Raw genomic sequence first — 26,989 nt, forward strand, 5'->3', positions numbered from 1 at the left:
CATCAATGCTTGGATACTTACATTTATCAAGTTATTACATTTTGCTGTGTAAAAAATATTATGTATGGTGAAAGGGGGATATATATATATTATGTATTAAAATATGTATTATATATTATATATTAAACATAATATAATTATATATAATTATATATTAAACATAATATATTATATATTAAATATATAATTATAATATATATTTAATATATATGTATAATATATAATTATATATTATATATAATATGTTATATGTTTATAAACATATACATGTTATATATATTATATATTTCCTATATATTTAATATATAATATATATAATTATACATTGTAATATATAATATAATATAATATATATATACTTAAGGATGCTGTGCATCAAGCCTGAATTTTTTTTTTTTTTTTGAGATGGAGTTTCGCTCTGTCTCCAGGCTGGAGTGTAATGGTGCGAACTCTGCTCACAGTAACCTCTGCCTCCTAGGTTCAAGCGATTCTCCTCCCTCAGCCTCCCAAGTAGCTGGTATTACAGGCACCCACCACCATGCCCAGCTAATTTTTTTTGTATTTTTAGTAGAGATGGGGTTTCGCCATGTTGGCCAGGCTGGTCTCAAACTCCCAACCTGAAGTGATCCACCCACCTCGGCCTCCCAAAGTGCTGGGACTACAGGCATGAAACAACGTGCTCGGCCCAAGCCTGAATTTTCTTTTGCATTTCCAGTAGTTTTGCCATCTTTGTTATTCAGCAAAGAGATGTTTTTGTTTTCGTTTTTGTTTTTTTGAGACAGAGTCTGGCTGTGTCACCCAGGCTGGAGTGCAGTGGTGTGATCTCAACTCACTGCAACCTCTGCCTCCCAGGTTCAAGTGAGTCTCCTGCCTCAGCCTCCCAAGTAGCTGGGACTACAGGCGCCCTCCACCACTCCTGTCTAATTTTTTTTTTTTTTTGTATTTTTAGTAGAGACGGGGTTTCACTATGCTGGCCAGGCTGGTCTTGAACTCCTGTTGTGATCCACCACGCCCAGCCAAAGAGCTGTTTTTGTTAAAGTTTGCTTGTCCCAGGCTGGGCGCAGTGGCTCACGCCTGTAACCCCAGCACTTTGGGAGACTGAGGCAGACTGATCACTCGAGCCCAGGCGTTCAAGACCAGCCTGGCCAACATGACAAAACCCTGTCTCCACTAAAAACACAAAAGTTAGCCAGGTGTGGTGGCACGTGCCTGTAATCCCAGCTACTCGGGAGGCTGAGGCAGGAGAATCGCTTGAACCCGGGAGGCAGAGGTTGCAGTGAGCTGGGATCGTGCCACTGCACTCCAGTCTGGGCGACAGAGCCACACTCGGTCTTAAAAAAGAAAAAAAGTCCTTGTCCCTCTGCTTGTAAGTACCACCAAAGGGCTATATTAACTGACTATTGGCCAGGCATGGTGGCTCACGCCTGTAATCCCAGCTACTTGAGAGGCTGAGGCAGGAGGCAGAGGTTGCAGTGAGCTGAGATCGCACTATTGCACTCCAGCCTCGGAGACAGAGCAAGACTCTGTCCCTAAAAATAAATGAATAAATAAATAAAATAACTGACCATTGTGCCTGGCACTTAGTAGATGCTCAATATACATATATGAATAAATGAACTTCTCATTTTCCTCACTAATAAAAGCAGATATTAATGCCTATCAAATAACTAAATGGATTGCTGGCAGAATCAAAGAAGCTTGCACAAATCACTGGATAAATCACTAGGTGCAGTTATTTCCCTGAGGCTAGGACTGTTAGAGTTCTTCTCGCTGGGAATTTCCTGTGCTCAGGACAAGGCTCTGCCCACAAGGGCATCCGGACCCCATGGCGGAAAGAGGATATCCAGACCTTCAGATCACTCTACCTCCTGCTCTTTGCTATTTTCCTTACCAACAGAACAGCTAGGGAAGAGACAGCAGTAGGATTAGTCCTGGTTCCACAGAAACCGAGCCTGATTTGGGTAAATCAATCACTTTGAAGACACAATAATTGGATTTGAGTGGAGAACAATTCTGACAATAATCCAAGTTACCCAAAACAGGAACATTTGTGCAAATGGTGGCCTTTAATACCAAGAAAGACCATGACAAGTGACAGAACAGGAGCAAATTCCCTAGTGTAGTGCCGAGCTAGCCTTTTGCAGGACCCTAAAACCTGATCTAGTAACAGAATAAATCAGTGTATTTACATTTATGTTTGCCCTGAAAACCCAGGTAAGGTCTGAAGCCTGAGGCATCTCTCCTTCCTTTCCTCCTCCCTCTCTTCCTACCTCCTTGCCTTCTTTCACTTCCTCAATTCATTCCTCTCCCTTCTCCCTTCCTCTCTCTTCCTTTTTTTCCTTTCTGCTTTTCCCTTTTCTCCTTTTTCTCCTCATTCTCTTTACCATCTACCTATGTGACCCTCCAAGCCCCTCTGCTATTTCTCCCCTGCTCACTCCCTCTGCCGTTGTCTCCCTCAGGTTCAGCTTCCGGGGTGGGGAGGCAAGAAAGGGTCCTCAGCCCAGGGAGCACTTGTTGGTGTTCTTCTTGTCACAAGTTTTCAGGTCAGTACTGGGAGGCTTGTTGCCGTTTCCCTAGAGGGAGAAGGGCACAGGTGTCATGGTGTGAATGGATGGTTAGGGTAGGAGGGTATAAACTGTTTAAAGTAAATCCACCCTCATGAGAAATCTTAGCATTGCTCCCCGTTTTTATCAACACCAACACACACACACACACACACACACACACACACATACATACACACACACACACCCCAGAGTTGTACCTAGTCCAGCAAAACCAACTTACTGATCTCCGGCCTCCTGACTTGAGCAAGATGTCCCGGGCCAGGGAACTAAAAGCCTAAAGTGGGGAACAGAGTCAGTTTGGAGGGAGGAGAATCTACCTTCTAATACTTCCTCTCTTGGTCGGGGATGGGGGTGTGGATCTCACCTCATCCACATTCATACTGGATTTAGCACTAGTTTCGAAAAATCGGATTCCATGCTCTCGAGCCAACTATAAGGGGTGAAGTGGGAAGAGAATTGAATTAAGGACAGCAGCCAAGTCCTCTGCAATGCAACCTATCTTGGCCCTCCCAGCCCAGTTCTAGAACATTGCTCAGCCTGGCCCTCACCTTATCGGCCTGCTCCTTCTGCACCTTCCTCTTGGCCTCCATGTCACATTTGTTCCCCAGCAAGAGGCGCTCCACCCCAGCCGAGGCATTCTGGGGGCAAAAGACAAGTAAAAGTTAGGTCCTGCCGGCTGGGAGCGGTGGCTCACGCCTGTAATCCCAGCACTTTGGGAGGCCAAGGCGGGTGGATCACCTGATGCAGGAGTTCAAGATCAGCCTGACCAACATGGAGAAAACCCGTCTCTACTAAAAATGCAAAATTAGCCGAGCATGGTGGTGCATGCCTGTAATCCCAGCTACTTGGGAGGCTGAGGCAGGAAAATCGTTTGAACCTGGGAGGCAGAGGTTGCAGTGAGCCGAGATCCTGCCATTGCACTCCAGCCCGGGCAACAAGAGCAAAACTTCATCTCAAAAAAAAAAAAGTTAGGTCTTGCCTATCCTGATGGACCCCTTCATTCTCCAGGTTCTAACCAGTTTCCCCATCTCTTTTGGAGGGTCCTCACCTCCTTGATGCTTTTCATCCAGTTCTGAATATTCTCGAAAGATTTCTCATCCGTGATGTCGTATACTAGGATAATGCCCTGGGAGATGACAAAATTCACCTTGGACCATGTTCCCATTGAGGCTTCCCACTGCCCTGTAAGTGACCCCGCATCCATGGGTCTAAACACTAGGCCATGTTGGGCCCTCTGCAACCCACACTGCACCCCTCCCATTTTTACCTGCCCCAACCCCTGACCCTTTGTATTCATAATATATTCTGTAGCCTCATCCTTCATCCTTTGTTCAGACCCACACTTCATACCATGGCTCCACGGTAGTAGGCAGTAGTTATTGTCTTGAACCGCTCTTGGCCAGCCGTGTCCCTAAAGAAGGAGAAGTTTTCATGGGATGGAATAGAGGGAAGAATTCTCCAACGGAATAATTCTTCCTCTCTCACAAGAATTTAGCTTTTGTAACATGGTGGGGCAACAGAATAAGGAAACAGTAAAGGGGAACGGGATTAAAGACAGTTGAGCTGATTTCCAGAGATGGTAGTGGCCCAAGAAACAAGATGTCTTTGCTTATTCATTGAATGTTTGCTATGTGTCAAGCACTGTGTATGTATCATTTTATCTAATCCTTACTCTTTCCTTGTAAGACATGTATTATTGTCTCTATTTTAAAAATGAGGAAACACGCCAGGTGCCGTGGCTTGCGTCTATAATCCCAACACTTTGGGAGGCTGAGGCGGGTGGATCACCTGAGGTCAGGAGTTCAAGACCAGCCTGGCCAACATGGTGAAACCTCGTCTCTACTAAAAATACAAAAATTAGCCCGGCCTAGTGGCGGGCGCCTGTAATCCCAGCTACTTGGGAGGCTGAGGTCGGAGAATCACTTGAACCCAGGAGGCGGAGGTTAAAGTGAGCCTAGATTGTGCCATTGCACTCCAGCCTGGGTGACAAGAGCAAAACTCTGTCTCAAAAAAAAAAAAAAAAAAAAAAGAGGAAACAGATTTGGATAGGCTGAATAATTAATGAAGGTCAGGCAGGAGATAACTAAAAGAACCAGATTTGCGCACCAGTCTGCTCTTATATGTCATAGCATAATGCCTCCACTAAGCTTCATACCACTTAAACACCTTCAGGGTCTATATTTGGCTCTCTGGGCTCACCATATTTTGGAGAAAACACTAGACTTAGAGTCAAGTCTTAATTCTGCCTTTGCCATTTAACTGCTCACAGCCTGTTTCCATGTTATGACTGAACAGTTGTTTGTTGTCAAATTAAGAGGATGCTCTGCAGCCAGAGGAGGCAAGAGTTACAAAAGAGTTGGAACTAGTTGGGAGAGCAGGAAGAGAGATGGAAGGACAGCTGAGTGCATCCGGAGAAATGCCAGAAGTGCTCCTTCTAGCACTTCTAGAAGGAGCAATGGGGAAAGGAAGAGAAATGAAACAAAATAGAAGGAAAAACGTGTAGGAGGTAAATGGGGAAGTCTGGCGAGGCATCCCAGAGGACTGACTTACCAGACTTGTAGTTTGATCTTCTTCCCCTCTATATCCACAGTGCGGATCTTGAAATCAATTCCTAGGGGTGGAAGGTATGCACTGAAGTTGAGACATGCATGCACACATGTAAAACTGTGTGATGGAAGGGACAGGAACGGAGCAGTGCTGGCACCAGAAATTCTGCAGGGGAGGCACTTGGGGAACAATCTTGTTGGAAATGCCAAGCTAGGAGAATTTTCCCAAAGCTGTATTTGTATAGCAAGAATACTATTTTTACGTACATTTTATGGATTTTGGGAGGGAAAAGGTGACGAAAATTCTGCATGGAGGCTTAAAATCCTTAGGCTGCCTCTTGGGTCCATTCAGTTATACCAGCTGACAACTCTCTGAATTCAGTCTCTGTCTCCCCCCAGATATTACTTTCACATTCCTCTTCTCTGTTTTCTTAGAGCCCTCTACTCTTGGTATCCCACCTACCCTCCTAGTAGAGAGTAAGGAAAAAAGTAGCTGAAGCCAGTCTATGTGAATTAACTAGTGGGCCAAACTTGGCACTAGGAAAGTCTGAGGCTAAACAGGATTACTTTTGAGACAATTAGGAAAGAGGGGCATTTTTCCTTTTCCTTTGTAACCAGAATTGTCGTGAGACTCTTCCTGTCTATTTCCCAAGCCAGAGGAGATGAAGAAAGAAGAGAAGGGAGGAGGGGAGACAATGTTCTTCTTAGTAGAAACTTGGGCACCTCCCCCAAGCCTGCTGGGGGCCCCTGGGAGGAGGATGAGTCACCAGGCTGACTCAGAGACCCCAAAAGTCCCCTCATTTCCACGTTCCTCACCAAGCTGGCTGCATATTCATGATCACAGTCCTTGGGCCACCCTCCAGCACACCCAGCCACCTTGTTCCACCCTTCCCAAACCCTTGTTCAGCTGAGGTGCAGGGAGACTGGGGCAGGGAACCTGGGAAGTAGATGGTGAGGTGGGGACACAGTGGGAGAGTTTGAAGCTCAGCAAGACAGAAAGAGGCTAGCATCGGATCGGGAGAAAAAGATGTGGCGGACAGGGATACAGGAAACATGGAGATAGGATCGAGAGAGTTCTAGGTGGTGGGGGTAGGGGAAGAGGGGAACAGAGAAAAATAGAGAAGAGTTCTTGTGGATTTGGGGAGACTAAGGCGATGGTACCAAGAAAATGAGGAGCTGGCAGCAGTTGAAGAGTTACCTGAAGGCCTCAGAGAGGTGAGAGGTTTGGTTACTATACAGAGACATGCACGGGGGAAGGGTCAGAGCCAGGGGTTGAGGGACTAGAATTTAGGAGCCTTACTCTAAGGGGACTGAAAAGTGGGGTCACTAGTAATCCGGGAGCCGGAGAAGGAGGTCACAGGAGAGTCGGGGTCTGGGACATGGCCAGCGGGCTCACCGATGGTGGAGATGTAAGTGTTGTTGAAGTTGTCCTCTGCAAAGCGAATGATCAGACAAGTCTTGCCCACCCCCGAGTCCCCGATCAGCAGCAACTTGAAGAGGTGGTCGTAGGCTTTGGCCATGGCGGACACCGGGGGAGCCGGGGGAGGGGTGGGGAGCGCCCGGCACTGGTAGGCGGGACTGGACGGTTGGCAAACAGAGCGGCACGGAGCCCAGGCCAGGAAGAAGTTTTCCTCCCTCTCCGCCCAGGCTCCGGGAAAGAGGAGAGGCGGCACCCCTCCGGGCTCCACCCCCTGCCCGCCCACCCTTTTGAGCAGGCCAAGGCTGCCAGCCCGGCCTCTGTTCTCTCGGTTTTCCCTTCCTAGCTTAGGCCGGCCTGTCTCTCTCGCTATTTTCCACAGCCTTTCGGTAATTGTAGCTCCCCTCTTAGGACCTTACTCTTCCATTCTGAGGCCAGAGAGGCTGGGGTGAAGGGAAGTAGAGGTTTAACCACGACGACCAGAAATTTTAGAAGAGAAATTTTAGAGGGATTAGGGGAAGAGAACCAAGAGTTTTGGGAATAAGGGTGAAGGTAGGGAGAGCACTAGAAATTGAAAAAAAAAAATGGGGCTGAGTTTTGGAGATGCTATTCAACGAAGCTAGAAGATGAGTTATCATCGGTTTCTGGGGCTGAGTAAAAGGCAGTCCTAGAATTTTACTGTTAGTTGTCCAAGCCCTTAGTTCTATGGGTCCCAATTCACTTTGAAAAAAGCGGGATGCGCAGAAGTAGGTTATTTGTTGAGTCAGTCTGCCCCCTGGTGGAACAGGGTGAAAACGTAAATTAGTTATACAGAATCGGCCCCACCACCCCAACACACACAGCCTACCTAGACACATCCTGGGGCTTCAGTTGGAACGATCTCTCTTATGGGGACCCATGTGTGATTTCTCTGACCAAATAGCTTAGGAAAACAGAGATTTGAACTAAAAATGTCATTCTTTACGTGAATCTTTTAATATGGCCCACTTAAGGTGCAGTACTCCTGAAATCTCACTCAATAGGCCATGAATGTGTAGCCTTGGTAACCAGGAAGCTGAAATATGAACAGCACGGGTATAAAGAAACAAGTTTGCCGGGCGCGGTGGCTCACGCCTGTAATCCCAGCACTTTGGGAGGCCGAGGCGGGCGGATCACGAGGTCAGGAGATCGAGACCATCCTGGCTAACATGGTGAAACCCCATCTCTACTAAAAATACACACACACACACAAAATTAGCCGGGCGTGGTGGCAGGCGACTGTAGTCCTAGCCACTTGGGAGGCTGAGGCAGGAGAATGGCGTGAACCCGGGAGGCAGAGCTTGCAGTGAGCCGAGATTGCGCCACTGCACTCCAGCTTGGGCGACAGAGCCAGACTCCGTCTCAAAAAAAAAAAAAAAAGAAAGAAAGAAAGAGAGTAAAAGAGAAACAAGTTTATCTCTGCCTTTAGAAAAAAATTATTCTTGCTATATGTGTGCTGGGGGTGGAAAAAAATACGAAACACGAAAGAAAGAAAATATTATCTAAGACCTGTTGCGGTGGCTCACACTTGTAATCCCAGCACTTTGGGAGGCCAACGTGAGAGGATCCCTTAAGCCCAGGAGTTCAAGACCAGCTTGGGCAACATAGTGAGACTGCTTCGACAAAAAAAAAAAAAAAAAAAAAAAAAAATTAGCCATACATGGTGGTGTGGCCTGTAGTCCCAGCCGCAGCTACTTGGGGGACAGAAGTGGGCAGAACACTTGAGCCCAAGAGTCCAAGGCTGTAGTGAGCCACGATTATGATGCCACTGCTCTCCAGCCTCGGTGATAGAGTAAGATCCTGTTTCAAAAAAATTTTTTATTTATTTTTTAATTAATTAATTAATTTTTTTGAGACAGAGTCTTGCTCTGTCGCCAGGCTGGAGTGCAGTGGCGCAATCTCGGCTCACTGCAACCTCCGCCTCCCGAATTCAAGCGATTCTTGTGCCTCAGCCTCTGGAGTACCTGTAATCCTCTGGGATTACAGGTGCCCGACACCACGCCCAGCTAATTTTTGTATTTTTAGTAGAGATGGGGTTTCACCATGTTGGCCAGATGGTCTCGATCTCTTGACCTTCTGATCCGCCCGCCTCGGCCTCCCAAAGTGCTGGGATTACAGTCGTGAGCCACCACGCCTGGCCCTATTTTTTTTTTTTTTTTGAGACGGAGTCTTGCTCTGTCGACCTAGGCTGGGGTGCAGTGGCGCGATCTCGGTTCACTGCAAGCTCCGCCTCCTGGGTTCACGCCATTCTCCCGCCTCAGCCTCCTGAGTAGCTGGGACTACAGGCGCCCGCCACCACCCGGCTAATTTTTTGTATTTTAGGGAGAGACGGGGTTTCACCGTGTTAGCCAGGATGGTTTTGATCTCCTGACCTCGTGATCTGCCCGCCTTGGCCTCCCAAAGTGCTGGGTTTACAGGCGTAAGCCACCGCGCCCGGCCTATTTTTATTTTTATTTTTTTAATTTTTATTGTTTATTTTGAGGTGGAGTTTCGCTCTTGTTGCGTAGGCTGGGGTGCAATGGTGTGATCTGGGCTAACCGCAGCTTCCGCCTCCCTGGTTCAAGCGATTCTCCTGCCTCAGCCTCGCGAGTAGCTGAAATTACAGACACCCGCACTACCCCCTGCTAATTTTGTATTTTTAGTAGAGACGAGCTTTCTCCATGTTGGTCAGGCTGCTCTCGAACTCCCGACCTCAGGTGATCCACCCACCTCTGCCTCCCAAAGGCCTGGGATTACAGGCGTGAGCCACTGCGCCCAACCTTTGTTTTTACTTTTATTTTATTTTTTGAGACAAAGTTTTGCTCGTCACCCAGGCAGAAGTGCAATGGCTCAATCTCTGGTCACTGCAACCTCCGCCTCTTGGGTTCAAGCGATTCTCCAGCCTCAGCTTCCCGAGTAGCTGGGATTACAGGCGCCTGCCACGACGCCCAGCTAAATTTTTTTTTTTTTTTTTTTTTTTTAGTCGAGACGGGGTTTCACCATGTTGGCCACGCTGGTCTCGAACTCCCGACGTCACGTGATCCGCCCGCCTCAGCCTCCCAAAGTGCTGGGATTACAGGCCTGAGCCACCGCGACCGGCAAAGAAAAAATTATTATTATTATTATTATTATTATTTGAGACGGAGTCTCGCTCTGTCGCCCAGGCTGCAGTGCAGCGGCGCGATCTCCGCTCACTGCAAGCTCCGCCTCCCGGGTTCACGCCATTCTCCTGTCTCAGCCTCCCGAGTAGCTGGGACTACAGGCGCCCGCCACCGCGCCCGGCTAATTTTTTGTATTTTTAGTAGAGGCGGGGTTTCACCGTGCTAGCCAGGATGGTCTCGATCTCCTAACCTCGTGATCCACCCGCCTCGGCCTCCCAAAGTGCTGGGATTACAGGCGTGAGCCACGGCGCCCGGGCAAGAAAAAATTATTCAAGGGAGTCTCTCTCGAGCCTATTCTGGCTGCCTATAAAAAATTAAAGGCCGGACGCGGTGTCTCACGCCTGTATTCTCAGCACTTTGGGAGACCGAGGCAGGTGGATCACGTGAGGTCGGGAGTTCAATACCAGCTTGGCCAACATGGTGAAACCCCGTCTCTACTAAAAATACAAAATTAGCCGGGCATGGTGCCGCATGCCTGTAATCCCAGCTACTCGGGAGGCTGAGGCAGGAGAATCGCTTGAACGCGGGAGGCGGAGGTTGTGGTGAGCCGAGATGGCGCCATCACACTACAGCCTGGGCAACAAGAGCAAAACTGTGTCTAAAAAAAAAATAAAAATAAAAATAAAAAAAAAGAAGGCATCTTTCACTTATCCCCATCACCTTCCGTGTCCATGCTTGTCCCTTCTCAAGCTAAACTATTCAATCTCTTTTTGTCCATTCTCTCACCTCTCATTATCTCCTTGAGTCTTCCCTATTTCTTTTCACTGACCAAACCATGTCTCCCCTGTTTATTTATTTATTTAAGACAGAGTCTTGTTCTGTCACCCAGGCTGGAGTGGATCTCGGCTCACTGTACTTCCGCCTCCCAGGTTCATGCGATTCTCCTGCCTCAGCCTCCAGAGTAGCTGGGATTACAGGCACACGCCACCACGCCTGGCTAATTTTCGTATTTTTAGTAGAGACGGGGTTTCACTATGTTGGCCAGGCTGGTCTTGAACTGCTGACCTCAGGTGATCCACCCGCCTTGGCCTCCCTAAGTGCTGGGATTACAGGCATGAGCCACTGCGCCCGGCCTAAACTGTTAAATTAAACCAATAGAAAAAGAGTTAAGAATATAGGTATTTAAAAAATAGGACGGAAGTCCTGGATATGGCTCCTTCTCCCTGGTGTTTTCCTCAACCTTTCCTATTTATTAGGCTCCAACTGTCAAGGTATGGCACAAAATTTTAAAAGTGTCCATTTATCCCTGGATAGTGATCAAACGCTGACCTCAAATTAGCAAGGTAACCCTCTCAACATGGTGACGCATATGTGTCACAACTAACAGTTAAAGACCTTCCGAAAATGGCAGCTCCCTTGTCTCCCCACTGCGGCGGATCAAAGTAAGACGTTCCAAACATGGTGGCACAAGATCCTTGCGTCATTTCCTGTAGTGTGCTCTATATAAGGGGCAGGATTTCCGCTTTCGCTCCTTTCCGGCGGTGACGACCTACGCACACGAGAACATGCCTGTGAGTGCTTTGGTCCAGGTTTCGGCGGAGATCTCGCTGTTCTGTCCGAACTCTCCCCTCACGCTGATTTCGGATCGTAGAGGGTCCTCATTTACCCTCTGCACTTCTTAGGACATTAACTCCAGGGACCGCAGCGGCCCACGGGCCACCCGCATAGACGGGAGCGGAGAGGAGATAAGATGGCGGCCCAGCTGCGCAGACACCAGGGGCGGCGAGGGGCGAGCTCTCCCCGGTGTGTGACAGTGGGGGCTATTTTCGACCATCCCATTTTCGCTGTTGGTTTCTAAATCTCTGCATTTCTGTCCCTCTTAGCTCGCAAAGGATCTCCTTCATCCCTCTCCAGAAGAGGAGAAGAGGAAACACAAGAAGAAACGCCTGGTGCAGAGCCCCAATTCCTACTTCATGGATGTGAAATGCCCAGGTGAGGAGACGGCTTGCTGTAGTGGGGAAAGCACTGGACCTCAACAGTTGGAAAATGTTGTAGTGTTAGCTGTCTCGTATCCTTGAAGCTGTGCAGCAGCTTCAGTTTCTTCGCCTGTGGAAAATATTTTCCCTGATACTCTTAAAATTTGAATGTATGAGACTGGCAAAGTTTTGCATCTTAGGAGGAGTGATTCATTTCACCGTGATCTCTCATCACATTTCACATACAACCCCTACGTTTTTTTGTGTTGGGAAACAATGTAATGGATGATGAGTTGGGCATAAGTGCAGGAAAGACGGGTGTAATAGAGGAAAAAAATGTTATCTGCTTTTCTTTCAGGATGCTATAAAATCACCACGGTCTTTAGCCATGCACAAACGGTAGTTTTGTGTGTTGGCTGCTCCACTGTCCTCTGCCAGCCTACAGGAGGAAAAGCAAGGCTTACAGAAGGTAAATGGTTTACTAATGTGATTTGGGGCTTTGAGTTTGATTTTTAGAAATGGAAACATTTCTTAGGATTTTTCGGTCTTAACAGTGACAGGGATCATCTATAATGTAAATTTTTAGACAAGAAGTGTTGGATTTGGTTGTTTTAACTAGATACTACCAAAAGCTATGTATTAATCTCAAAGCACTACTGTCTAAAGCGGGGATAAATGGGTGATAAAAGGGCTTAAGTTGATAGGAAGTAACCAGTGATACAAATGCGCAGGTAGCTAAGAGTTGAGAAAAAAGATGTAGCTTTCTGTGGGTGGATCATCATGCATCTGCTTTTTTGGGAGAGGTGGGCAGAATACCTGTACTGATGACAGCTAATCTCTGAATCTTTTTCCTCCAGGATGTTCCTTCAGGAGGAAGCAGCACTAAAAGCACTCTGAGTCAAGATGAGTGGGAAACCATCTCAATAAACACATTTTGGATAAATCCTGTTTATTGTCTTGTTTAAGTGTTAGGAAGTTCCTGTCTCAAGTATTCTGGGGCAACCAGGAAGAGGAGAATATTAGAGTCATTTGGGGCACGTAAGTGGCCAAGTACTTTAAAAGTCCCTTTGGGGGCATTTTTAACCACCTAGGCTCATTGGATAAATTTGTTTTTTTTTTAAACTGTGATACTATCTCAAGTGTTGTGTTTGGTGTTTTTTTTTTTTTTTATAAGAGAGATGGAATCTTGCTCTGTTGCCCAGGCTGGAGTGCAGTGGCACAATCTTGACTCATTGCAACCTCTGCCTCCCAGGTTCAAGTGATTCTCCTGCCTCAGCCTCCTGAGTAGCTAGGATTACAGGTGTGTACCACCATGCCTGGCTAATTTTTGTATTTTTAGTAGAGACGGGGTTTCACCATGTTGGTCAGGCTGGTCTCAAACTCCTAACCTGGTGATCCGCCTGCCTAAGTGCTGGGATTACAGGCGTGAGCCACCGCGCCCGGCCGACAGTTAACTCTTTACAATACAGTCTGACATACCAGTTTTAAGAAACAGCTTAGGATGCTTTATTTATAGTTCTCAGAAGCCTTATCTGGAAACTTAATGTAGAAGTTGCTGTTAGGCTTCTTGTCGAGGACTAGAAATCTTCATTCCCCTGCAGTTAAGAGAAACTTGTCCAAGCAGAGGTTAGTGCCTTATACTCCATAACCAATGTTGCAGCCGACTTTGGGCCAATGGAGGTTGTAGACTCATGAAGTGAGGGGGAGAACTTGTGGAGTTAAAAAAACCTAGAAGAAGAGGGAAAAGTTGAGTGAATTAAACGTGTGTATCTGAGCTTTTCAAAGATGAGGACAGAGGCTTTTTTACCTGGCTGTGGTGTTCCTAGAGTTGGTACATACACAACTGGAACTGTTTGTATCTTGTTTAGGAAGGCATTGTATGCTGGAAAAAGGACAGGAAATGTCACAAGGCATATCTGAGGAAGGCCTTAAAAGGCAAAGTCAACTCTAGAATGAGAATATTGCTAAAAATAATTCTTAAAAATAAGTAATAGTAATGGCACTATTACAGGAAGTTTTTATCCCAATTTAACCCATTTTAGAGTTACTTTCAGCTTTTGGCTGAAAGGGGGAAAATGGCCGGGCACGGTGGCTCACGCCTGTAATCGCAGCATTTTGGGAGGCTGAGGTGGGCGGATCACGAGGTCAGGAGATTGAGACCATCCTGGCTAACACAGTGAAACCCCGTCTCTACTAAAAATATAAAAAATTAGCTGGGCGTGTTGGCGGGTGCCTGTAGTCCCAGCTACTCAGGAGGCTGAGGCAGGAGAATGGTGTGAACCTGGGAGGCGGAGCTTGTAGTGAGCTGAGATCGTGCCACTGCACTCCAGCCTGGGCGATAGAGCCAGACTCTGTCTCAGAAAAAAAAAAAAAAGTGGGGAAATGGAGTAGACAATAGTGTTGTGTTAATTTTTTTTTTTTTAGGCTGTGTGTGGTGGCTCACGCCTGTAATCCCAGCACTTTGGGAGGCCTAGGTGGGCAGACCACCTGAGGTCAGGCATTCAAGACCAGCCTGGCCAACATGCCACTAAAAATAAAAAATTAGACAGGTGTGGTGGCGGGTGTCTGTAATTCCAGCTACTCGAGAGGCTGAGGCAGGAGAATCGCTTGAAACTGGGCGATGGAGGTTGCAGTGAGCCAAGATTGCACCACTTCACACCAGCCTGGGTGACAATGGGACTCCATCTCAAAAAAATTTTTTTTTAGACACACAGTATCACTGGAGTACAGTGGCACAATCATGGCTTACTGCCACCTTGAATTCCCTGTCTCAAGAAATCCTGCCTCAGCTTCCCTAGTAGCTGGGACTAGATGTGTGCCACCACCACACCCAGCTAATTTTAAAGTTTTTTTGTAGAGATGGAGTCTCTCTGTGTTGCCCAGGCTGGTCTTAAATTCCTAGACTCAAGCCATCCTCCCACTTTGGCCTCCCAAAGTGCTAGGATTACAGGTGTGAGCCATTGCACCCAGTCTGTTTTGTTACTTGAATTATCCCTAACTATGAATTTCAGCAAAAGTAGCTGTTATACCTCAAGATTTAGTAGTGGTTTCCACTTCTGAGTGGTGTGTGTTTGCCAAATCCAGTTTGTTGCTTCTTGGTAGTAAGTTGAGGACCTTTTTTTTTTGAAACGGAGTCTTGCTCTGTCACCCAGGCTGAAGTGCAGTGGCACGATCTTGGCTCACTGCAACCTGTGTCTCCCAGGTTCAAGCACTTCTGCCTCAGCCTCCCGAGTAGCTGGGATTACAGGCATGTGCCACCACACTGACTAATTTTTGTTATTTTTAGTAGAGATGGAGTTTCACCATGTTGGCCAGGCTGGTCTCGAACTCCTGAACTTAGGTGACCCACCCGCCTTGGCCTCCCAAAGTGCTGGGATTACAGGCATAAGCCACCATGCCCGGCTGAGGGGGACCTTTAATCCACCACGTTACTAGGACTAGCAAGGCTTAGTTTACACTGTTTGTTAAAATTATATGTGATAAGTGGCTAATTTTCATCCTTATTTGTGAAATAAGGCAGTTTCATCTGGGCGCGGTGGCTCACGCCTGTAATCCCAGCACTTTGGGAGGCCGAGGCGGGTGGATCACGAGGTCAGGAGTTCAAGACCAGCCTGGCCAAGATGGTGAAACCCCGTCTCTACTAAAAATACAAAAATTAGTCGGGAGCAGTGGCCGGCGCCTGTAATCCCAGCTACTCGGGAGGCTGAGGCAGGAGAATTGCTTGAACTCGGGCGGCAGAGGTTGCTGTAAGCCAAGATTGCGCCACTGCACTCCAGCGTGGGCGACAGACTTAAACTCCATCTCAAAAAAAAAAAAAAAAAGGCAGTTTTCATGTCAAAGTCTATGTTATTGAATATAAGGACTCTACCTAGGAAGATGGAAGCTGTTGATGCCAGCACTGCAAAGAGGGTCAAGAGCAGGATCTGGTAAGAGCCAGTGAACCGCTTGAGGATGGCGGAATCTTCACAGTGATCTATACATTGGCCATAACAAAACAAGATAATAGTTAATAGCAACCATGGGCAGATGCTGCATTTTTTAAATTTAATTTTTTTTGAGACAGAGTTTTACTCTCACTCTGTCCCCCAGGCTGGAGGGCAGTGGTGCGATCTCAGCTCACTGCAACCTCCAGCAGATGCTGCATTTTAAAACTTATGACTAAAAATAGTAATAAGAGTATCTGCCAGAAGTATTCAAAACCCAGCCTTCTTAGTAAGAGAGAAGAGAGCTTCAGATGTGAACTATACTTGGCTCAACCGCGTCTTTTTGACTTCTTCCTATCTCCAGAGTAATACAACTCTCTAATTCTTGAGCTTGTTATTTCTTCCTCTTAGATTTCAAAGGATGCTTTAAATCCTCTGCTACTTTAAAATGCTGGTTACCACTTCTTCCTCTTCCAGGGACGTTGTCTGCAGGCACTCAGAATGGTCCAGCGTTTGACATACCAACGTAGGCTTTCCTACAATACAGCCTCTAACAAAACTAGGCTGTCCCAAACCCTTGGTAATAGAATTGTTTACCTTTATACCAAGATGGATGGGAAAGCACCAAAATCTGCATGTGGCATGTGCCCAGGCAGACTTCAAGGGATTCGTGCCGTAAAACCTGAAGTTCTTACGAGATTGTCCAAAACAACATGTCGGGTTCCATGTGTGCTAAATGTGTTCGTGACTGGATCAAGTGTGCTCTCCTTATCGAGGAGCAGAAAATTGTTGTGAAAGTGTCGAAGGCACAAGCACAGTCAGCTAAATAAAAAATGAAACTTTTGAGTAATAAAAATGAGGAGACTTAAAAAAAAAATGCGGCCTGGCGTGGTGGCTCACACCTGTAATCCCAGCATTTTGGGAGGCCAAGGCGGGTGGATCACAAGGTCAGGAGATCAAGACCATCCTGGCTAACATGGTGAAACCCCGTCTCTACTAAAAATAGAAAAAATTAGCTGGGTGTGGTGGCATGCACCTGTAGTCCCAGCTACTTGGGAGGCTGAGGCAGAAGAATGGCGTGAACCCGGGAGGCGGAGCTAGCAGTGAACCGAGATCTCTCCACTGCACTCCAGCCTGGGTGACAGAGCCAGACTCTATTTCAAACAAAACAAAACAAACAAAAACATGCTGTTTACCTTTCCCGTGCACTTTAACCCCAGGTAACATGCTTCCCTTCACTAAACTTGTGATAGTATGCTGATTCCATTTATAATTGTAATCTCTATCTTGAAACATTTTCTTTTCATTTTTTTGAGAGGGAGTCTCTGTTGCCCAGGCTGGAGTGCAGTGGCACCATCTCAACTCCCTGCAACCTCCGCCTCCTGGGTTCAAGCAATTCTTTTGTCTCAGCCTCCCTAGTAGCTGGCATTACAGGTGCCCACCACCATGCCTGGCTAATTTTCGTATTTTTAGTAGGGATGAGTGTCACCATTTTGGCCAGGCTGGCCTCAAACTCCTGACCTCAGGTGATCCACCCGCCTTGGCCTCCCAAAGTGCTGGAATTACAGGCATGAGCCGCTGCACCCAGCCAAAACTTTTTTTTAAGATCATCAGTGACCACTTAAATCCACAGTACCTTTGTCCTACTCAGGATGTCATTTTTTGGGAGCACTCTGATTTGTATCTAACCTTATCCTCAATAAAACTGTAGACTTGCCTTTTTTTTTTTTTTTTTTTTTGAGACAAGGTCTCAGGCTGGAGTGCAGTGGTGCAGTCATGGCTTACTGCAGCCTCCTAAGTAACTAGGACTACAGGTGCACACCATCATGTCCGACTTTTTTTTTGTTTTTGAGATGGAGTTTCACTCTTGTTGCCCAGGCTGCAGTGCAATGGCATGATCTCGGCTCACCGCAACCTCTGCCTCCCAGATTCAAGCAATTCTGCTGCCTCAGCATCCTGCGTAACTGGGATTACAGGGGCCCGCCACCACGCCCAGATAATTTTTGTATTTTTAGTAGAGATGGGTTTTCACCATGTTGGCCAGGATGGTCTCGAACTCCTCACCTCAGGTGATCCAACCACTTCGGCCTCCCAAAGTGGTGGGATTACAGGCATGAGCCATCGCGCTGGCCTTTTTTTTTTTTTTAACACCTGAATAATTTAAATGTTTTTCTTTAACTTTTAATTTTTGTTAGAGATGAGGTCTCTCTATGTTGCGCAGGCTTGCCTTGAGCACCTGACCTCAGGTGATCTGCCCACCTCAGCTTCCCAAAGTGTTGGGATTACAAGCGTGAGCTACCGCACCTGGCCTTTTGGCTGTTTTTCTTTTCTTTTCTGTTTTTTTTTTTTTTTTTCCTGAAACAGCCTTTCTTTCTCACTCAGGCTGCAGTGCAGTGGTGAGATCTCAGCTCACTCCATCTCTGCCTCCCAGGCTCAAGCGATCCTCCCACTTCAGCTTTCAGAGTAGCTAGGACTGCAGGCCATCACACCTGGCTAATTATTTTGTATTTTTTGTAGAGATGGGGTTTTGCCATGTTGCCCAGGCTGGTGATTACTGTATTTGTTTTTTTTTTTTTTTTTGAGACAGAGTCTTGCTCTGTCCTAGGCTGGAGTGCAGTGGTGCGATCTCGACTCACTGCAACCTCCGCCTCCCCATTCAAGCTATTCTCCTGCCTCAGCCTCCCGAGTAGCTGGGATTACAGGTGCATGACACTACACCTGGCTATTTTTATTTATTTTTATTTATTTTTTTTATTTTTAGTAGAGACGGGGTTTCACCATGTTGGCCAGGCTGGTCTCAAACTCCTGACCTTGTGATCCACCCGGCTCGGCCATCCAAAGTGCTGGGATTACAGGCTTGAGCCACTGCACCTGGCCAATTACTGTAATTTTTAAGAGAAATATTTTTTAAATCTGGCAGTAGGAACATGAATATATCTGTGGATTCTTTTTTTTCTCTATACATTCTGAGAAACTTCTCTAGTAATGAACTATAGAAATGATCCCTGAAAGTATAGTCAATGAATTCTGTTGGTGACAAAAGCACACAATACTGCTGATATTATGGTGGTTTGCTGCCTATATTAATAATCAGTGAAAGTGCTAACTTTAAGTTAGTGGTCAATTGAAAATAAAGATGCACGGCCAGGCGCAGTAACTTACGCCTGTAATCCCATCATTTTGGGAGGCCAAGGTGGGTGGATCATTTGAGATCAGGAGTTCGAGACCAGCCTGGCCAACATGGTGAAACCTTGCCTCTACTAAAAATACAAAAATTAGCCAGGCGTGGTGGCGGGCACCTGCAATCCTAGCTACTTGGGAGGCTGAGGGAGGAGAATTGCTTGAACCTGGGAGTGGAGGTTGCAGTGAGCTGAGATGGTGCCACTGCACTCCAGACTGGGCGACAGAGCGAGGTTCTGTCTCAAAAAAAAAAAAAAAAAAGGAAAGAAAAAGATGCAATTTTTCTCCACTTGGGTAATGGACACCTTGAATTCTATCTATGGACCTTTGTGGGGATCCGTGGTCTCTAGATTTAAAAACTCTGTTCCAATACATTCTGTGATAGTATCTAGAGATCCTTTTTTTTTTTTTTTTTTTTTTAATTCCTGAGACAGGGTCTCGTTTTGTCACCCAGGCTGGAGTGCAGTGGTGTGATCATGCCTCACTGCAACTTCAACCTCCTGGGCTTAGGCAGTCCTCCCACCTCAACCTCCTGCCTGGACTTCAGGTGCATGCCACCATGCCTGGCTAATTCTTTTGATTTTTAGTAGAGATAAGGTCTTGCTGTGTTGCTTAGCCTGGTCTTGAACTCCTGAGCTCAAGTGATCCTCCATCTTAGCCTCCCAAAGTGCTAGGATTACAGGTGTGAGCCACTGCACCAGCATCTCAGTTTCCTCAGCTCTTGGGGAAAAATACCTACCTCCTAGAGTTATGAGAATTAAACCAAAAGCATATAAATGTGCTTAGGATAATGATCAATACAAACCAGATGCTCACGTAAACATCAGCAAAAACCTATTTCCCATTAGGAGATACACTATAATTTAGCTTAGATAGTTCCCAGTAATTAAGTAGCTTCCCTTGAGGGGTGGGGAAGTGGGCGTGACAAATACAATATAAGGAGACTGATGGTTCTCTAGCTTTTCTAACACCTTTTCGTAACTATTCCCATCCTATCCAATGTGGCATTATTTCTAAACTAGGTAATGCCTGGAATCAGGATTTGGGAAAGCTAAGTCTTGGTTCTAGGGTTAACATTGGCCCATTGCCTGATGCAAAAAGATTTAAATACTTTTGAAGACAACAAAACATTTATCAATAAGATTGGCCGGGTGCGGTGGCTCATGCCTGTAATCCCAGCACTTTGGGAGGCCAAGGCGGGTGGATCACCTGAGGTCAGGAGTTCCAGACCAGCCTGGCCAACATGGTGAAACCCCATTTCTACAAAAATACAAAAATTAGCAGGGCATGGTGGTGTGTGCCTGTAATCCCAGCTACTCAGGAGTCTGAGGCGGGAGAATCGCTTGAACTTGGGAGGTGGAGGTTGCAGTGAGCCGAGATCACGACATTGCACTCCAGCCTGGGTGACAGAGCAAGACTCTCTCAAAAAAAAAAAAAAAAAAAAAAAGGTTTAAAATAGGGCAAATAGTATACTTACAAAGCTGGCAAACTCGTGTTAAACTGACAACTATTCTTTTTCCTTTTTTTTTTTTTGAGACAGGGTCTTGCTCTGTCACCAGGCTGGAGTGCAGTGGCACAATCACAGTTCACTGCAGCCTTGAACTCCTGGTCTCAAGCAATCCTCCTGCCTCAGCCTCCCGAGTAGCTGGGACCACAGGTCCATGCCACCATGCCCAGGTAATTTTTTTTTTGTACTTTTTTGTTGATACAGAGTTTTGCCTTGTTCCCCAGGCTGGTCTTGAACTCCTGAGCTCAAGGGATCTGCCCACCTCGGCCTCCCAAAGTGCTGGAATTACAAGGCATGGGCCATCATGCCTGGCTGACAACTATTCTTAAATATATAAGTTAAATATAAAATTTAGGTAGTGTTAAGAAAGCTACCTAAAGGTTGTATTTTGGGTAGGTTTGGAAGATTCATGCCTCAACTAGTTTGAGTAATCTTGGTCAAGTGGCTGAATGTTTCCCATTAACTAAACTGTGATAACATCTGTCCCCCCATATCTGTGGGGAATATGTTCCAAGACCCTCAGTGGATGCCACAGATAATATTGAACCCTCTACGTACTATGTTTTCCTTACTGAGTTGAGAACTTCCACTTTTTCACTTAAAGGAAGCACTTTCCAGCTTCTTTTTGGCATACCCGAATTGCAGGCATCACCACTCTTGTGCTTTGGAGCCATTATTAAGTAAAATAAGGGTTACTTGAAACAAGCACTGCACTGTGATACCTTGATACCAGTTGATTTGATAGCAGAGACTGCTACTAAGTGACTAAAGGGCTGATAGTGTATACGGTGTGAACATGCTGGACAAAGAGATGATTCATGGTTGGGGACCAGAGCAGGACAGTGTGAGATTTCCTCATGCTATTTGGAACAGTGCACAATTTAAACTGTTTATTTCAGGAGTTTTTCATTTATTTTTGGACCGTGGTTGACAGTTAAGTGAAATGCGGAAAGCAAAACTGCAGATGGGGGGTACTAATGTAATACATTCTTTCTTCTTTTCCTCTCTAGATTATAAATAGGAATCTCTGATGCTTACCTGCACCCAACTTATCTTTCATAGCCCTCACTACCACTGCCTCACTTTGACTGGTGAGTACACAGGAAATATTGATGAAAACAGGTGATGCCATTTGCTGGAAGGAAGTGAAGTTGACCACTCTTACAGAGTAAATGGCCAGGCCAGGAGTGAGGGGAGAGTGGCTATGGCCAGCGACCACTAGAACTGGGGAGCTGGAGATGACCTTGGAGAAAAGATAAAACCTTTTATTTAAAAGAAGAAAAATCAACTTTGTATCAGTATGTTCCAATCTGAAACATATACAGTACAATAATTGTCAAGATCTGGATTTCTAGCTAGCTAGCCGACAATCAAATCATTTACTTTTTTGTTGTTGTTGAGAGGGAGTCTCGCTCTGTCACCCAGGCTGGAGTGCAGTGGCGCGATCTCAGCTCCCTGCAACCTCTGCCTCCCGGGTTCAAGCAATTTTCCTGCCTCAGCCTCCCGAGTAGCTGGGACTACAGGTGTCCGCCACCACGTCCAGCTAATTTTTGTACTTTTAGTAGAGAAGAGGTTTCACCATGTTGGCCAGGATGGTCTTGATCTGTTGACCTTGTGATCCACCCACTTTGGCCTCCCAAAGTGCTGGGATTACAGGCATGAGCCACCGCGCTCGGCCAATCATTTACTTTTTTTACTCCTTTAGGTATGTTGACAAAGCTTATGACCTAGATTTTGGACTCTGGGAGCCTGCCTGGCATTATGAAGGAGATGGGTTTTCTTCATTTGATTTTGTCATTTCCTATGGTAATTTTTATTAGGTCACTCAGTAACTTCTTTTGCCCTTGAAGTGAGAATGAAAACTATCTTTTCAAATTCCTGATCTCTTGTTCTGTTTTGGTTCAGTTCTTAACATACCTCTAGCTTCCTAAGAACTCTGTCCACTCCCAGTACTCTTATCTCCCCGATATCTTGTTTGTGGCTAAGAACCAATTCTGACTGGTTAATATAAAAGGCTGGGATGAAAGGAATGAGGATTCGTTGCATTCCATTCTTGCTACGTTCACTGACCAGTGTAGCCCACCCATAGACTGAGGTGTCAGCCACACTGAGGGCCTGTAGCAGCTCCTCTGACTGCGGTCGAACCTTGATTATGCAGACATAAACCCCTGGAAAAAAAAGAGGAAAAACTGAGCAGGAAGGTTCAGAGGCTCTATTGAGCCAACTGAATTAGGATAGGAAGGGAAAATTGTGACATGCAAATTCAGCAAAAGAGAAAATGTGAATTTAGTTTTGAGTATTCAATATCAGCACAATATTGGCCACTACGAGGAGGATGCCAAATAAAAAGAAAAATACTCCTAGAGAAACCACAACTAAACTTGTTTTCTGAGAATACCATTCTTTCTTTTTTTTGGAGACAGGGTCTCACTGTGTCGTGCAGGCTAGAGCACAGTGGCGTGATCATGGCATTCTGCAGCCCGACCTCCCAGGCTCTGGCGATCCTCCCACCTCAGCCTCCCGAGTAGCTGGGATTACAGGCATGAGCCACTGTGCCTGGCTAATTTTTGTATTTTTTAGCTGAGGTGGGTGGATCACAAGGTCAAGAGTTCGAGACCAGCCTGGCCAACATGGTGAAACCCCCATCTCTACTAAAAATACGAGGATTAGCCGGGTGTGATGGTGGGTACCTGTAATCCCAGCTACTTGGGAGACTGAGGCAGGGAAATTGCTTGAGATGGACGTTGCAGTGAGCTGAGATCACACCACTGCATTCCAGCTTGGGGACAGAGCAAGACTCCGTCTCAAAAAAAAAAATTATATTTTTTATAGAGAAGGGACTTCATTATGTTGCCCAGGCTGGTCTCAAACTCCTGGGCTCAAGCGATCCTCCTGCCTTGGCCTCCCAAAGTGCTGGGTTTACAGGCGTGAGAAACTGCTCCCTGGCTAAGAATACCATTCTTATTCAACATGTCAGGGAATATTAAATGATATAACACAAGCAGGGCAATTAAGAGCTGGGGATATAGAATGAAGTAGTCAGTGCTGGTGAACTCAGGAAAGGGTTTGTGAAAGACAGACAAGCTTTGAGCATCATTAATAACTTATGTATCAGACCACCTCTTGGTGTCATTATTTTTATCAATGGTAGGAACTGTTTTTCCAGTTACCCATGATTAATCCTTAGCTGTCTTTTTTTTTTTTTTTTAAAGAGACAGAATTTCACACTGTTGCCCAGGCTGGAGTGCAGTGGTGCAATTCTACCTCACTGCAGCCTTAAACTCCTGGGCTCAAGTAATCCTCCCACCTCAGCCTCCCAGGCAGCTAGGACTCCAGGCATGTGCCACCATGCCTGGCTAATTTTTAATTTTTATTTATTGCTATTATTATTATTTTATATATATTTTTGAGACAGAGTCTCGCCCTGTTGCCCAGGCTAGAGTGCAGTGGCGCAATCTCAGCTCACTGCAAGCTCTGCCTCCCAGGTTCACGCCATTCTCCTGCCTCAGCCTCCCAAGTAGCTGGGACTACAGGCGCCTGCCACCACATCCGGCTAATTTTTGTATTTTTAGTAGAGACGAGGTTTTACCTTGTTAGCCAGGATGGTCTCGATCTCCTGACCTCGTGATCCTCCCACCTCAGCCTCCCAAAGTGCTGGGATTACAGGCGTGAGCCACCATGCCTGGACTATTTATTATTTTTGTAGAGACAGAGTCTTGCTCTTGCCCAGGCCGGACTGCAGTGGCACAATCACAACTCACTGAAACCTTGAATTCTTGGGCTCAAGCAATCTTCCTGCCTCAGAGCTAGGGCTACAGGTGCGCGCCACCATGCCTGGCTATTTTATTTTTTGAGAGACAAGGTCTTGCTATGTTGCCCAGGCTGGTTTCAAACTCCTGGGCTCAAGTGATCCTCCCACTTCAGCCTCCTAAAACATTGGGATTATAGGCATGAGCCACTGCACCTGGCCTTAGTTGTCTTTACATCCTTTCCTTCATCCCTATATCCAATCATTTCCAAATCTTGCTTACTCCTTCTCTGAAATGTCTCTGACATCTGCCCCTTCTTAGTATTTCTCTATTAGTCTGGTCTAGACCCTTATCAATGCATGCTTGGATTATTGCAATTGGATAATTATGGATAATTAGTCTGGGCTAGACCCTTACTAGTCTGGTCCAGACCCATTAGTCTGGTCTAGACCCTTATCAATTCATGCTTGCATTATTGCCCCTTCACAGGTATCCTTGCCTGTTTTTTGTTTTTTTTTTTGAGATGGAGTCTCACTCTGTTGCCCAGGCTGGAGTGCAGTGGCGCGATCTTGGCTCACTGCAAACTCCGCCTCCTGGGTTCACGCCATTCTTCTGCCTCAGCCTCCCGAGTAGCTGGGACTACAGGTGCCCACCACCACGCCCGGCTAATTTTTTTGTATTTTTAGTAGAGACGGGGTTTCACCATGTTAGCCAAGATGGTCTCGATCTCCTGACCTCGTGATCCACCTGCCTCAGCCTCTCAAAATGCCAGGATTACAGGCGTGAGCCACTGCGCCCGGCCTTCTTTTTTTTTCTTTTGAGACGAAGTCTCGTTCTGTCGCCCAGGCTGGAGTGCAGTGGTGCGATCTCAGCTCACTTCAAGCTCTGCCTCCCTGGTTCAAGTGATTCTCCTGCCTCAGCCTCCCACGTAGCTGGGATTACAGGTGCCCTACTAATTTTTGTATTTTTAGTAGAGGCAGAGTTTCACCATGTTGGCCAGGCTGGTCTTGAACTCCTGACCTCAAATGATCTGCCCACCTCAGCCTCCCAAAGTGCTGGGATTACCATGCCCTGCCGTTATTCCTCTTTTCTTTCTTTGAGACAGGTTCTCCATCTGTTGCCCAGGCTGTAGTGCAGTGGTGTGATCACGGCTCACTGCAGCCTTGAACTCTTGGGCTCAAGGGATTCCCCCACCTTGGCCTCCTGAGTAGCTGGGATTACAGGCATGAGCCACTGTGGCCAGGCTATTCCTCTTTTCTTTTTTTCTTTTCTTTTCTTTCTTTCTTTCTTTTTTTTTTTTTTTTTGAGATGGAATCTCACTCTATCGCCCAGGCTGGAGTGTAGTGGCATAATTTTGGCTCACTGCAACCTCCACCTCCTGGGTTCAAGCAGTTCTCCTGCCTCAGCCTCCTGAGTAGCTGGGATTACAGGTGTGTGCCACCACGCCCAGTTAGTTTTTGTATTTTTAGTAGAGACAGGGTTTCACCATGTTGGTCAGGCTGGTCTCAACTCCTGACCTTGTGATCCACCCTCCTCGGCCTCCCAAAGTGCTGGGATTACAGGCATGAGCCACCGTGCCCGGCCTCCTCTTTTCTTTTTCTTATCCATTCTACATACTGCCACTAAATCCTTAAAAACTGCCTTCATTATTTATTTATTTATTTATTTTTTTGAGATGGAGTCTTGTCTGTCGCCCAGGCAAAATGGAGTGCAGTGGTGTGATCTCAGCTCACTGCAACCTCCGTCTCCTGGGTTCAAGCAATTCTCCTGCCTCAGCCTCCCAAGTAGCTGGGACTACCCAAGTAGCGTGAGCCACCAGGCCTGGCTAATTTTTGTATTTTTCGTAGATTCGGGGTTTCACCACGTTGGCCAGGCTGGTCTTGAACTCCTGACCTCAGGTGATCCACCGCCTTGGCCTCCCAAAGTGCTTGGATTACAGGTGTGAGCCACCGCGCCCAGTGTTTGTTTGTTTGTTTGTTTGTTTTTTGAGATGGAGTTTTGCTCCTGTTGCCTAGGCTGGAGTGCAATGATGTGATTTCAGCTCACCACAACCTCTGCCTCCCGGGTTCAAGTGATTCTCCTGCCTCAGCCTCCCGAGTAGCTGGGATTACAGGTATGCAACACCACGTCTGGCTAATTTTGTATTTTTGTATTTTTTTTTCTTTTTTTTTTTTGAGACAGCGTTTTGCTCTTGTTGCCCAGGCTGGAGTGCAATGGCGTGATCTCAGCTCACTGCAATCTCCGCCTCCCGGGTTCAAGTGATTCTCCTGCCTGAGCCTCCTGAGTGGCTGGGATTACAGGCATGCGCCATCACACCTGGCTAATTTTGTATTTTTAGTAGAGACGGGTTTCTCCACATTGGTAAGGCTGGTCTCGAACTCCCGACCTCAGGTAATCTGCCCACCTCAGTCTCCCAAAGTGCTGGGATTACAGGCATGAGCCACCGCGCCCCGCCCTAATTTTGTATTTTTAGTAGAGATGGGGTTTCTCCATGTTGATCATGCTGGTCTTGAACTCCCAACCTCAGGTAATCCACCTGCCTCAGCCTCCCAAAGTGTTGGGATTACAGGCGTGAGCCACCGCACCTGGCCAAAAACTGCCTTCATTTTTATTTTATTCATTTATTTATTTAGACAGAGTCTTGCTCTGTCACCAAGGCTAGGGTGTAGTAGCATTATCATGGCTCACTGCAGCCTCAACCTCCTGGGCCCAAGTGATTTCATCTTATTTTTGGAAAAAAAAACAAACTAAACCAAAACTAAAACAAACTTCTCTAGGGCCCTATATTGCCTGGAATGTCCTGTTCTCTTCACATCTAGTTCACTCTTAGTCATACTTCTAAAGGTCATTCCCTCTGTAAAACCTTACTTAATTTGGCTCTAGGTTTCATATAGATACTCCTCCTTTCTTTCTGCTTTATTTTTATTTATTTATTTATTTCTCTGAGATGGAGTCTCACTCTTACCGCCCAGGCTGGAGTGAAGTGGCACGATCTCGGCTCACTGCAACCTCCGCCTCCTGGGTTC

At 46.4% G+C, this 26,989-nt stretch overlaps 3 protein-coding genes and 2 pseudogenes across 15 annotated transcripts in view, besides 6 other annotated features; 2 read left to right on the forward strand and 3 right to left on the reverse strand.

The window, feature by feature from the left end:
• Nucleotides 1-2,046: 2,046 nt before the first annotated feature.
• Nucleotides 2,047-11,105, reverse strand: RAB13 (RAB13, member RAS oncogene family). 4 transcript variants are annotated; one of them, NR_073553.3, is made up of 8 exons: nucleotides 6,414-6,736; nucleotides 5,118-5,178; nucleotides 3,918-3,978; nucleotides 3,616-3,693; nucleotides 3,116-3,205; nucleotides 2,932-2,997; nucleotides 2,788-2,841; nucleotides 2,047-2,573 (listed from the first exon to the last, which is right to left on the reverse strand). NR_073553.3 is itself a non-coding variant. In XM_017001959.2 (8 exons), exons 3-8 carry the CDS (start codon nucleotides 3,918-3,920, stop codon nucleotides 2,496-2,498), a joined length of 369 nt encoding a protein of 122 aa, XP_016857448.1. In that variant the 5' UTR covers nucleotides 3,921-3,978; nucleotides 5,118-5,178; nucleotides 11,024-11,105; the 3' UTR covers nucleotides 2,047-2,495. The 4 variants fall into 4 exon arrangements, 3 of the variants coding, with proteins under 3 accessions (XP_016857448.1, NP_002861.1, NP_001258967.1); XM_017001959.2 differs by lacking the exon at nucleotides 6,414-6,736 and adding an exon at nucleotides 11,024-11,105; NM_002870.5 differs by having other exon boundaries at nucleotides 6,510-6,736.
• Nucleotides 5,795-6,024: an enhancer, noted in NCBI's record as "active region_1771". NCBI's record gives its function as "activates an Ori minimal core promoter by ATAC-STARR-seq in GM12878 lymphoblastoid cells {active_cell/tissue: GM12878}" and the evidence as "EXISTENCE:reporter gene assay evidence [ECO:0000049][PMID:35858748]".
• Nucleotides 6,338-6,839: an enhancer, noted in NCBI's record as "H3K27ac hESC enhancer chr1:153958417-153958918 (GRCh37/hg19 assembly coordinates)". NCBI's record gives its function as "activates a minimal SCP1, AML or CMV promoter by ChIP-STARR-seq in primed H9 embryonic stem cells {active_cell/tissue: H9 hESC(primed)}" and the evidence as "EXISTENCE:reporter gene assay evidence [ECO:0000049][PMID:30033119]".
• Nucleotides 6,651-6,820: a silencer, noted in NCBI's record as "silent region_1349". NCBI's record gives its function as "represses an Ori minimal core promoter by ATAC-STARR-seq in GM12878 lymphoblastoid cells {active_cell/tissue: GM12878}" and the evidence as "EXISTENCE:reporter gene assay evidence [ECO:0000049][PMID:35858748]".
• Nucleotides 10,884-12,083: an enhancer, noted in NCBI's record as "BRD4-independent group 4 enhancer chr1:153962963-153964162 (GRCh37/hg19 assembly coordinates)". NCBI's record gives its function as "activates an origin of replication core promoter dependent on BRD2, P300/CBP, MED14 and CDK7 cofactors, and independent of BRD4, by STARR-seq in HCT116 cells {active_cell/tissue: HCT116}" and the evidence as "EXISTENCE:reporter gene assay evidence [ECO:0000049][PMID:35650434]".
• Nucleotides 11,040-11,399: an enhancer, noted in NCBI's record as "active region_1772". NCBI's record gives its function as "activates an Ori minimal core promoter by ATAC-STARR-seq in GM12878 lymphoblastoid cells {active_cell/tissue: GM12878}" and the evidence as "EXISTENCE:reporter gene assay evidence [ECO:0000049][PMID:35858748]".
• Nucleotides 11,097-12,077: an enhancer, noted in NCBI's record as "NANOG-H3K27ac-H3K4me1 hESC enhancer chr1:153963176-153964156 (GRCh37/hg19 assembly coordinates)". NCBI's record gives its function as "activates a minimal SCP1, AML or CMV promoter by ChIP-STARR-seq in naive H9 embryonic stem cells {active_cell/tissue: H9 hESC(naive)}" and the evidence as "EXISTENCE:reporter gene assay evidence [ECO:0000049][PMID:30033119]".
• RPS27 (ribosomal protein S27) lies at nucleotides 11,159-12,552 on the forward strand. Of its 3 annotated transcripts, NM_001349946.2 has the most exons (5): nucleotides 11,159-11,199; nucleotides 11,311-11,431; nucleotides 11,512-11,620; nucleotides 11,963-12,073; nucleotides 12,462-12,552. In NM_001349946.2, exons 3-5 carry the CDS (start codon nucleotides 11,602-11,604, stop codon nucleotides 12,488-12,490), a joined length of 159 nt encoding a protein of 52 aa, NP_001336875.1. In that variant the 5' UTR covers nucleotides 11,159-11,199; nucleotides 11,311-11,431; nucleotides 11,512-11,601; the 3' UTR covers nucleotides 12,491-12,552. The 3 variants fall into 3 exon arrangements, with proteins under 3 accessions (NP_001336875.1, NP_001336876.1, NP_001021.1); NM_001349947.2 differs by having other exon boundaries at nucleotides 11,159-11,431; NM_001030.6 differs by lacking the exon at nucleotides 11,311-11,431.
• The window catches only part of NUP210L (nucleoporin 210 like), a 162,427-nt gene continuing 148,524 nt past the window's right edge, over nucleotides 13,087-26,989 (reverse strand). For 4 of the 8 annotated variants that reach the window (XM_011510122.2, XM_011510123.2, XM_047433904.1 and 1 more), the window contains 5 exons: nucleotides 22,132-22,382; nucleotides 21,253-21,457; nucleotides 15,473-15,577; nucleotides 13,412-13,486; nucleotides 13,087-13,332 (listed from right to left, as the gene is read on the reverse strand). In XM_011510122.2, coding sequence (XP_011508424.1) covers nucleotides 13,232-13,332; nucleotides 13,412-13,486; nucleotides 15,473-15,577; nucleotides 21,253-21,457; nucleotides 22,132-22,382 — 737 coding nt within the window. In that variant the 3' untranslated portion in view covers nucleotides 13,087-13,231. Of the gene's footprint in view, nucleotides 13,333-13,411; nucleotides 13,487-15,472; nucleotides 15,578-21,252; nucleotides 21,458-22,131; nucleotides 22,383-26,989 lie in introns of those variants that run through there. The other 4 variants (XM_017002788.3, NM_001159484.1, XM_011510124.2 and 1 more) reach the window with 4 other exon arrangements.
• Nucleotides 15,990-16,392, forward strand: RPL34P5 (ribosomal protein L34 pseudogene 5; annotated as a pseudogene).
• Nucleotides 18,464-18,548, reverse strand: LOC124904673 (uncharacterized; annotated as a pseudogene).

Source organism: Homo sapiens, chromosome 1 (genome assembly GCF_000001405.40).
Source record: "Homo sapiens chromosome 1, GRCh38.p14 Primary Assembly".
Classification (NCBI taxonomy): Eukaryota; Metazoa; Chordata; class Mammalia; order Primates; family Hominidae; genus Homo; species Homo sapiens.

Excerpts from the sequence above, each read along its gene's own strand:
- RAB13 (NM_002870.5), bottom strand. The coding sequence starts at position 6,633 with ATGGCCAAAGCCTACGACCACCTCTTCAAGTTGCTGCTGATCGGGGAC. Across the intron at positions 3,206-3,615 it reads GGATGAAAAGCATCAAGGAG|AATGCCTCGGCTGGGGTGGA; the intron begins GTGAGGACCCTC and ends TTTTGCCCCCAG. Across the intron at positions 2,574-2,787 it reads AGTCAGGAGGCCGGAGATCA|GGAAACGGCAACAAGCCTCC; the intron begins GTAAGTTGGTTT and ends TTCTCCCTCTAG.
- RPS27 (NM_001030.6), top strand. Across the intron at positions 11,621-11,962 it reads CATGGATGTGAAATGCCCAG|GATGCTATAAAATCACCACG; the intron begins GTGAGGAGACGG and ends CTTTTCTTTCAG. Across the intron at positions 12,074-12,461 it reads AAAAGCAAGGCTTACAGAAG|GATGTTCCTTCAGGAGGAAG; the intron begins GTAAATGGTTTA and ends TTTTTCCTCCAG.